The sequence below is a fragment of the Homo sapiens genome, chromosome 15, assembly GCF_000001405.40.
Source record: "Homo sapiens chromosome 15, GRCh38.p14 Primary Assembly".
Classification (NCBI taxonomy): Eukaryota; Metazoa; Chordata; class Mammalia; order Primates; family Hominidae; genus Homo; species Homo sapiens.
The window spans coordinates 88448426-88459477 of record NC_000015.10 but is presented as its reverse complement, the minus strand read 5'-3'; the positions used below and the strand labels follow the sequence as shown (position 1 = coordinate 88459477).

The 11052-nt window shown below is 46.2% G+C and overlaps 1 annotated feature.

The window, feature by feature from the left end:
- Positions 9211-9280: an enhancer, noted in NCBI's record as "active region_10026". NCBI's record gives its function as "activates an Ori minimal core promoter by ATAC-STARR-seq in GM12878 lymphoblastoid cells {active_cell/tissue: GM12878}" and the evidence as "EXISTENCE:reporter gene assay evidence [ECO:0000049][PMID:35858748]".

Sequence of the window (11052 nt, the reverse complement as noted above, 5' to 3'; positions counted from 1 at the left end):
TGTTGGTCTCAGCTGATTTGCCCTTTGATGGCCCAGTGAAGAGAGCCATCTCTTAGGGTGTCTTTCCATTTTTTTCCCAAGGTGATCACTGAGTACTGGATTATATTACAGTGCGTCACTGAGTTACTGGGCCCAGGAAGAAAGGACAGAAGGAAATGAATTGACTTCCCGAAAGCCTTGAATTCTGTGAAAGCTTCTCTAGGCCCTTGGGAAAAAACTAGTTCTATATAGTTTCTTAGCCATTTCCAGTTTGTTTTTCCTTCCCTCTGCACTTGATATGAAGGTGTTTTAATCTAGCCTGGGAAATAATCCTTCCTTCTTTCCCCCCCTTCCTAAAAGCATTTTATTTTAAAAAGAATTGAGTTATGTCTTAACCTTTTTTGAAACAGTCATGTGAAATGTGCAGTTAGTTTATCTCCATTCTACAGATGGAGGAATCACGGCCAGGTTGTGACTTAGCCCAGAGTCATACTGCATGTGCCTGTTGGTGCTAGAGGAGAATGCTGACCCCAATGCCCCTCACCTCTGGGGCTCTTGGCTCTTCAGTGTGTTGTTTGGGTCCTCACTGGTCCCCAGTGCCTGGCACATACGAGGCACTCAGTAAACATTTGTTAAGTGAGTGGCAGAGCATGGGGAACTCAGGCATACCTTTGTCTGCCCAGAATAGTGGTTTTAGTCTGCAGTCCTGGATTCCCATCAGATGCTTCCTGGTTTCGTCTCAGACGGCCTGGGTTAAACAGGCTGTGAGCACATGAGATGGGATTTCTGTTTCTGCATCAGCTGCAGCCTTGTGTTCTTGCCCAGGGTCAGGGAAATTGCTTTCTTAATCAAAATTGAGGGGCCTAGGCCTGATACTCCTCTGCTAACCTTTTTCCTCCTGCATGTGTGCTCTCCCCTGCATGACTGAGGGGAGATGTCTCCTGGCATAGGCTTGCTGATGGTGAGCTGTAGTGGCGCCTTTGTAGTGAAGCCTGGGCACAGCCACAGGGCCAGGATGCACTTTCTGGGTTTTGGAGTGACTTGTGTGTGAACTGTATTGCATATTCTTAGGGCCACGGGCACCTCTGACCTAGAAGGGAAGGAATCACCAGAGTGAAGTGACTATTTTCGTGACCGTGCATGTCTGTAACAACATTGTTTTTTTGGTGAGAAATAGCATATGTGCAATTGGGAAATAGAGAAATGGTGTCAGAATGACCCAAAGTTAAGTTAGATTTTTCTGCAGAACATTAATGTTTTTAAATGATCAGGGACAAGATTGAATAGCTTAAGAAAAAAGCTGAAAATTTTCTAGAAGCACCTTCCTTTATTGCAAGTAGGGGCTGGTTTAGTAACTTCTAGAAGCACTGCTAGCCTTTCCATGATGTTCAGCTCTCAGGGGAAACTGTGAGTGGAATGGAAGAAGCTGTGAAGACACCTCACCCACCTTGTTTTAAAAAATTGATGAAGAAGGCCCTGTCCTGGATCACAGTTTTAATTTTGATGGAATGCATCTCTGCTAAGATTACATATCAAAGAACCTACATCTCAGGAAGCAGTATAAGCCCCAGGATTTAAGGCTGCTGGGGACTGGTGTACAGGTGGTGGGGGTACTGCATTAGCATCATCATTAGGCTTCATTCTCTTTTGTTATTGCTCTGGTTACAGAATTCCATAGGTTTTGAGTGGTCTGCCCCAACCCCCTTTTCTGTTATTTTTGGAGTGTGATATTGCAGAATGCAAGATTTTTAGCATTATAGTATAAATAACTATATTTGCTGAGTGCCAGCTTGAATCTTCTACCGGCTGGCAAACATGACCAAAAAATTGTTTCTAGTGTATCCTTTGGGGGAAGATTGCCAGGGAACAAAATAAGATGCTATGTTCTCAGTGTGGGAGGACAGCGTAATGTGTGTGGTGCTGTGGGGATTAGGAGTTCCAGTTTGAAGTGTGTTTGTACAACCTAAGAAGAGAAATGCCTCTGTGTGTGTGTGTGTGTGTGTGTGTGTGTGTGTGTGTGTAACATGTACAACAGACCACCCAGTTCACTGAAAGGATCCTTCAGTTGTTAAGGTTTAGCCTTCGCCTCTTGGTCATTGTTTTCCCAAATGATTTCTGGTCTCCTTGTTTTCACCTTTGCTGGTTCTACAGAGAAAATACTGCCCTGCTTACAAACTTGTTTTCCTGGTAACTTATTTTCAAGGGTTACTTCCTGCTGGGCCATTTCTATGCCTTGTATGTGCTTCTACACTTAACACTTTATAGGATAATTAGTTGTTAATCTGGCTCCTATACAGGTCAAATATCCCTTATCTGAAATGCTTGGGAGCAGAAGTGTTTTCAGATTTCAGGTTTTTTTGGATTTTGGGATATTTGCATTATACATAATGAGATATCTTGGGAATGGGACCCAAATCTAAACATGAAATTCATTTATGTTTTATATACATCTTATACACAGATTACCCGAAGGTAATTTTATACAATATTTTAAATAATTTTGTGCATGAAACAAAATTTGTGTTAAGTACTTGATGTGTGGAGTTTTCCACCTGTGGTGTCATTGAGGCCCTCAAAAAGTTTTGGAGTTTGGAGCCTTTTGGATTTTGGGGTTAGGAATGTTCATCCGTACCTACTGGGCTTCAGAAACTGTGTGCAGATTAGCTCCTTTCCCCATGAGCACTGGACTTGGGGTCAGAAAACCTGGATTTGAGTTTTTATGACCTCAGTTAAGTTACTGTTACTGTTGATGACAGCGTAGTGACTCCTGAGTGCCAAGAGCCTTGTGAGTGCCCTTACTTACAAGCTACGTTGTTATTTAAACCAGCAGGGCAGGCATCTTTATCCCTATTTTATACATGAGAAATAAACTCAAGTTAGTTAGCTTACTTAGAGTTACTTCCTAGTAAGAAGTGGGGCCAGAATTCGAACCTAGACCTGTATACAAAGGTAGTTCTTAACTTTTCTTAACTTTACCTTTCTCATCTATAAAATGAAGATGATACTTCTTCTCAGGTAATGTGGTAAGTTATGCGAGAGTACTTAGCACCATGTGTGGCTTGTTATAAACACTCAGCAAATGTTTCCCTCCTTCCAACATACTTAGGCTCCTGAATTCTGCTCCTTCATTTAGCTGTAACATCTTTAGCTTTTACAACTCCCATTCTCACCTTTTCTAAGTTATACATTGTGGCAACCAAGCATTTCTGACCTATTTGGAAAGGGATGTGAGTAACTTGGACATTAATGGTTTCCATCCATTAATGCCACACACAATGGATGTATGGCAGGTAAGTCCCATAGCCAGCCTCATCCAGCTGGTTGGGCATGTTAGCTCTGTCCCACCCTGGGCCAGGAAATCCAGAGCCACTGTTAGGCACAGGCTTATGGGCACTAAAAACAGAAAGGATTTGCTGACCCGTTCTATTACCCCAACAGGGGAAAAGGAGTGCCGCTGAAAGGTCAGCAACCCAATTATTGAAAGCTCACAGATCGCTAAGCTTCAAACACACATAGCAAGATAAAGCCTGTTTGCCTGAAATCTCAGGGTAGCCTCAGCCCCTACCCTTCTCCGCTTTATTTTCTAGAAGCACATCGAGCCTGGATTATGGCCAGTTACTTTAGGCTATCAGTCGCCTTTCACCTGTCTTGGCATTTTGGTGCTTAAAACAGGAAGCGAAGGAGGAAAGTGTTCTCTCTGTGGTCAGAATAGGTGCTGTTAAAGGCTCAGGAATAGGTCCAGATAGCTGAATCACTGCTGTAGCTGAGGGGCTGGGGCTGGAAGGTCCCCTGCAAGTCAGGAGATAGGCACTGCCAGGGAGGGTCTTACTAGCCTAGAGCAAGACATAGGTGCACATGTGCACGCATACATCCCAGCTACCCTACTAAGCCACTCTGAAGTGGGCCTGAGAAGCCGGCCCCAGGTTTTATTCAGAGGCTTTGGCAGTACAAACAGAGCATTGATTGCCCAAGTGTCAGATACCAGGCCCCAAGTAGCTGCTGAGTGGCTAAGGTGGGTGGGGGAGAGAGACTCCCAGGTTCTCCTTTGGCCCAGTAGGGGAAAACTGTCCTAATGTAGTCAGATGAGGGCACTGAGGCTAGGGCTTTTGGGAATGACAGGGCTAATAGACAAAGTTGAGAACACCCTGGGCCTAAGGGGATTGGGACACACCTCCAGGTCAGAAAGCCTTGGGGTAGATCAGGCTGAGAAAAGGAGAGAGAGGATATCCCCAGACCGAGAAACCAGATGGCAGCCCAGAGTGGAAGGCGGGGCTTTATGACAGCTGGAGCGGGCTCATACGCATGAGCACCACAAGGTGGCAGGGTTTGCCTGGCATCTGCTCTTCCAGAAGTAGGCTGTCTCTGGAAACCTTCACGAAACCTGGAAACCTTCTGGAAACCTGCCTGGCCTTAGGCTGCTGCCCTTGGAGAAGCTTCGTATCTCAGGCTGAGCAGAGTCCCCAGCACCCAGTCTCCTGGGGTTAAGCAGCAGCCAGAAGCTTGCTGGCAGCCAACCAGGACAGATGTGGGGCACTCATGGCCATCCACCCCCATGCATCAGCTCCAGGGAGTGTCACAGATGGACGCCATGCCCTTGGGAGGGGAGGGCACCCAGACTGCCATGTGTTAGGACCACTTCATGTAGCCTTGTGCTAGGCCTGCATGTCCACAACATAATCTGACTCACCTAAGAATTACGTTGGTCTTGTGTGGCATTTTTAGATCCATAGACAAGCTTGGAGAGGGGAGGAGACCCTGTGAAGGTCTCAGTCAATGCTTGGTAGAGCCAGGATTTGAACCCAGAGCTATGTGATTCTAAAGCCATCCATTGTCCCATGCTGCCTGGACCCCTGCCTTTGTATCATGGAATTCCTGAACTGGTCATGGAGGAGCAATCTACTGCAGGCTCATGGACCCCTTGGAAAGCCTGAACTGGGGTGATTTGTGAGAATATGAAGAGGATTGACATGGAGAACAGTGAGGCTGAAGGGATTGGAATTATTTGAACTTGGAGAAGGGAATGGTGAGAGTCATGGTTTTTGAGTGTGTATATTACTTACACAGAGGATGTCCATTAGTCATCTTGGTCTGAATTAGAGGAAGTAAGCAAGCGTTAAAATGCAACAGTAGGAATTTTGAGAAGTTACACATGGGAAGAGTTCCTTGACATTTAGGATTATTAAATATTAAAGTGAGTTTTTATTTGAAGATGCTACTTCTTAGTACAAAAATCAACAGTTAAAGCACAATTTGGGAAAGCTAATTGGTAACAGTGGGTAAGAATCTCCATGAGTATTAAAAATAAAACAAGAACAAATGCCATTAAAAATAAGGTCAGTTCTGAGTAGTCCAATAGATTAGTCTTTTTCAGTTTGTCAATCACCTCACCACATTTTCTACAAGACGGTAAATCTTGATGACAAGGAAAAACCTCAAATAAAGAGAATTCTTGAAACATCCCAGTTAACCCTTCAACAAATATTTGTGGAGGAGGTTGCTTTACAGCCAAGCACTGGGAATAAAATGGAGACCAAAATACTCTTGGCCAACATCCTCAGTTTAGTGCTGAGGGTGGTGGGGGAACCCTGCCTGTCAACAAGCCAAAGGGAGCTGTGCTGTGCACCAACCCTGTGAGGGCCTCAGAGCAGGCCTCAGAATAGAGGGGAGAGAGCCAGGGAATAGAAGAGAGTAGGAATCACGTGCACAAAGCCCAGAGAGGCCTGGAAGAAGCTCTGTGGGGCTGGAGGGCAGTGCATATGGGAATTATTTTACAGTGTTTTAGGTTCTTAACTGTCCAAGACAGCTTAAGAGTAGTTTTGTCTGAAGGCAAGAGAATGAGTTCCATGATGCCTTGTGCAGAATCACATCTAACCTGAGGGCTGGATTCTAAAGTCACTGTATAGGTCACAAATAATCTATGACTAAAGTTACCATGGAAATATCCTTTAGAAAGGTAACACATTGGTGACTGGCCAGGTCTCTCCGGGAATCTAACATGGCCAGTGTTTCTTCTAGAGGTGGAACCAATCATGATTTATTTGGAGGAGCACAAGATTAACCAGTTGGCTTGTGTTTCGGGGCCATGATGTATAAAATACTAAGATTCCTATCCCTGTCCTTGAAGGGCTGTTGACTGCAGGTCTGTGCCCCATCCCTTAGAGGCTTGAATGGAGCGGGCTGGGAGAATATGAAGAGGATTCTGAATTACACCAAATATGAGATGTTTGCACAAAGACAGACATTCGAGGTCCTAGATGGAGTCACCTCATCCATCCGAGGCTAACTCCAGAGCAGGAGCCCATGGAAGAAAATAGTGGATGAAAATGCCTGCACTGTTTACAGTATTATTTGTCTCACCTTTAAAATTCTTGCTGTAATAGTTCGAATTTATAAAAGTCAAATGTGTGTATGATGGAATTCTGTAGACTCCACAGTATTCCTTTGGTTCCCAGTAGTTTCTGTAGCTCCCTGCACACTGCCATCCACAACAGCTAATTATCAAGCAATGAAGCTTGTATTTTAATGCGTACATGCAAGGGAAGCTTAGCCTCAAGGGGGACAAATTCCCTTTTTTTTTTTTTTTTTTTTTTAAAGAGAGAGATTTGGGTTTTGGAGAAGTTCTTAAGCCAACAATGGGAATGATGAATGATTAAGTGATTAAGTTGGGTCATTCTAGCCTCAGCCAATAAGAATATGTGATGATGAGTAATGATTGTAGACTATTTGTTGGGCGCAAGATGGACTGTGAAAGCAGACCCCAGAATTTTACTGGGCCATGGCTGCATCCATACAGTAAAAATTTAACTTTTTAAGGTGGCTACTTTGAAACTCATTTGGATGAAAAAGTCTGTTTATTAGGGCAAACTTTATGTGTCTTATCGTCCCACCTCACGCACAGCTGTCTTTGAACACCATTCTCTTAGCCATTCTTTATGCACGTGTGAGCCTGAAAAGTTTAGTATGCATTTCTGTCCCCAGCGAAGACAAATGGCCACATTTCCTTCTATGGATATAGGGAACATTTCTGTACACTCTGTTCTTCCATCCCTATGTCTTCGCACCAGTTTCTCTCTCACACACACACATACACACACACACTCTCTCTCTCTCTGTCACACACTCTGTCACACACTCTCTGTCACACACACACACACCTTGGATGAACATCACATCACACAGCTGTGAACATTCACATCACATATACACCTCCTGAACATTCACAGCACACACACACATGTCCCCCAAGAGCTTTAAATATTCTCATCACACATACACATAGTCTTGAATGTTCGCATCACACACAAACACTTGGGTGTTTGTTCCTATCACACACAGGTATAAAGCTTGTTCTCCGTCTGATACATGCATACCCTTGAACGGTCACACTAAAACACACACATGCACACTCTGCCGACACACCTTTGAAGCTGATATAATACACACGCGTATTCTTGAACGTTCACGTCACGTGTAGGCTTGAACATGCACCTCACACACTGGGGCATTTGCCTGTTGCTCTCAGACCCATTCCCTAGTCTTTCCCTGCTGTGTTTTGTAATGCATATGTATGTGTGTGCATGTTGGGGAGGGTGTTAACCACTGCAAATTACATTTCTTTCTTTTTTTTTTTTTTTTGAGACAGAGTCTCACTCTGTCGCCCAGGCTGGAGTGCAGTGGTGGGATCTCGGCTCACTGCAATCTCTGCCTCCCAGGTTCATGCCATTCTCCTGCCTCAGCCTCCCGAGTAGCTGGGATTACAGGCGCCCACTGCCACGCCTGGCTAATTTTTTTGTATTTTTAGTAGAGACGGGGTTTCACCGTGTTCGCCAGGATGGTCTCAATCTCCTGACCTCGTGATCTGCCCGCGTTGGCCTCCCAAAGTGCTGGGATTACAGGCGTGAGCTACCGCGCCCGGCCTGCAAATTACATTTCTTAAACTTTTTTGCCAACTGGATTCCAGCTGGATTTGGCCATAAGAGGTACCAACAAGAGACTGAAAGGAGGAGCAGCCAGGTACTTCTCCTCATTCTTTTTGTGTGTGGCAATCCAGCATCTACTCTGGGCCCAGCTCTGCTGGCAGCTGCCTTCATGATTCAAATTTCTGCAGGTAGTCGAGGCTCCTGGGAGCACCACGTCCTTCCTCTGTCCCCCCAGCCCTGGGAGTGGCAGTGACTTCTAACTTGCTAATCTCTGGGGTGTTCCACCATCCTCTGTTTTCATTTTTCAGTCTTTCCAACACGTTTGTAACTAGTTCCTTATATTAAACTCATTCTTCTGAACTACCTGGCATGGCTGAGTTTTTCCTGATTGGACCCTGACTGATGCTCAGCCAACGCCCACAGCTCACCTTAATAATTGTCTCAACTCTGACCTACAACCTTTCCTCCGACTGTGATCAGATTGCTGTTGGACCAAATCCTGGTACAGAGTTTTCAGTATTTGTTGAATGAATGAGTACAGTGACAACCCCTGTCCCCCCTACCACCAGTCCCCACTGTTCTAGAATTTTTCTGGATAGAGCTTGTTGCATCCCTGAGCCCATGAACTGAGTGGCTCCGGGACGTCTTCATCCCTCTCCAGATGGATTACAAATGACAACAGTGACGACACTGGTCGTCTTGGGCAGAGCCCATTTGGAGAGTGGAGGGTGAACCCTCAGTCGAGTCAGGCCCTTGTGGAAACTTCAAGGGGCATCAGGCATAAGCAGATTTTGCAATAGTAGACCAGATGTGGCTTCAGAAGCAGGGGGACTATCACTACCTGAGATAAACAGGAAAGAATGAGGTCGTCTCTCTCCCCAAAGATTTAGGTGCATGTATTGTATGAGGATTGGTCCTCAAATCTAAATTTCTAGCTTTGAAACTGACTTGGGCAAGCTGCTCTCTGCCTCAGCATTCATGCTTATAGAATTATGAGGTGCTATTACAGATCACTTCTTCCTTTTTGCAGAATGCCTAAGGAACTGTTTGATCTTGAACAAGTTATCCACCCCCATGTGGGCTTCGGGTTTTTCACTGACAACATAAGAAAGTTGCCTCCACAATCCTGGTGGGGACTGCCAGAGGCTGAGATAGATGTTGGCAATCAGGGTCGGTCCCAGGCAATACCTGTGGTGTCCACAGGGAGGCGCCACACACAAACGTATACACGTCCCAGACGCTCCAAGTCGAAAGCTGTGCTGCCGGTCCGGAAGCCCACGTTCCCTCTTCCCTCACACCTCCTGGCATGTGAGCATCACGGAGTGACCATCTGCCTATTACAAATTGAGTGAAGGCATTGAAGGCCACTGCAAACATGCAGCTGTATTGGGAGGCAGAAGTCACCAACCAAGTCATTAACACATTAGGGTGAGTTGATGGGATTAAGCAGAGTCATGAAGAGGGTGTGGGAATTCAAGACAGGTGAAATGTGAAAGGGTAGACAGAGCCAGGAAAAAAGGTAATAACAGCAACATCCTATTGTTTTCCCATGTATTTGATTCAGTTTAACGTACTTTTGCTTTGAGTAGACTGAGAGGCTAGATTCTCTCTGTAGTCTGGCATCCTAATTTTTGTGACCCTCACAAGATGCCGGAGGAAAGCAGGGTTGTATAAACCTCACTAGGAGTAAGGGCAGCGTGGAGCTGTGGAAGTGATGTGCGTGGCCCCGCCTCAGTCTCGTGAGTGGCAGAGCTGGGACTTAAATCTAGTCCTCGTGATCCAGGGACCAGGTTCATGAAGGGCACTTTGGGGTTCTGGAGACAGCCAGTAGGGTGGGGCGCCTGCCTCAGGATGGTCTTGGGTTAGCAGCTCCTGACATGTGACAGGGAGGCAATCCAGGCCTGTGCTCACGCATGGCTACATGCAATGCAAAGCAAGGTGGACTCTTTAAATAACCTGCCTCCACCTTCTTGCTTTACATTTGGGGATAACCAGGCTTAGAGACAAGAAGTCACCTGTCTTAGACCTCACAAAGAGTGGAGGCAAAGGCAGGAGATTCCAGGAGTCCTGAATCCCAGCCTGGGCTTTTGCCCACATGCCATGTGGGGTTTGCCTGGCTGCAGCATTTCAAATCCCTGATGCTTTCTGGGAGCCACTGGGAGCCCAGGGTCTCCTCCCTGTGCTCAAATACCAGGCTTCCGAGGAGCCAGCGCTGCCCTGGAGGCAGCATCTCCTTAGCCTCCTGGCAGAGCTGCTTGGCTTTCAGAAGCCCTGTCCAGTAGAGCAGGGATTACCCAGCATGCTGGGCCTGTGGAGGCGGAAGAACCAGGCTCTTTGCTTTGCACAGCCCTCCCTGGGATTACAAGATAATGCATATGAAGAGACATTTGCTTATCCAAGTTCATGGATTATGTGGAAATCAAATTGTAGTAATCTCCCTGGCCATCTGGTCTTGATGCCTCTAGCCAGGATCTCCCAGAGGCCTGCTCAGGCCCCCGTGCAGGGCTTGGGCAAGGGCCGGATGTGCTTTTGATGCCTGGAGCCAGGCCAGCATTTTCCAACAGGCCTAGAAGGCCAGGAGGGTTTATACCCCCAGTATCCGGGAGCAGACGGCAGGGCAGGGCCAGGCAGCTAGAGCCAGGAGGCAGAAAACCATCCGTTACCAATAATACTGCGTGTGGACGGTCCACCTGTTTTGTTAATGAAAACCACCTTGCGTTTTAAAAGACATCATTAGGCACATTTCTGGGGTGGGGGTGTTGGGAGGGGAATTTTTCTCAAGATTAGATGCACACGTCTCCCATTCTCTTGAAGAAGTGAGGCCTGAGCAATGGGCCTTCCCTGGTTCTGAGAAAAGGGAAATCAGGTTTTCTGTAGCTGGTGATTTGGGTTCTGTATTCATGACCCACTGAAGCTTTTGAAAAGGGAAGAAGAAAGAAAGGCAGTGCTGTGTAGGGTGAAGCACGTGGATTCGGGCTCCAGGCTGTCAGGTTTGGATTCAGCTCTTCCACTTAGTAGCTGTGTGACTTTGGGCAAGTCAGTTGATCTTTCTGTACCTCAATTCCTCATCAGTAAAATGAGAATACTAATAGGATGTACCTTGTGGGGTTGCTGTAAAGGTTAAATGAGTGTTTATATTTAAAGCCCTTAGAGG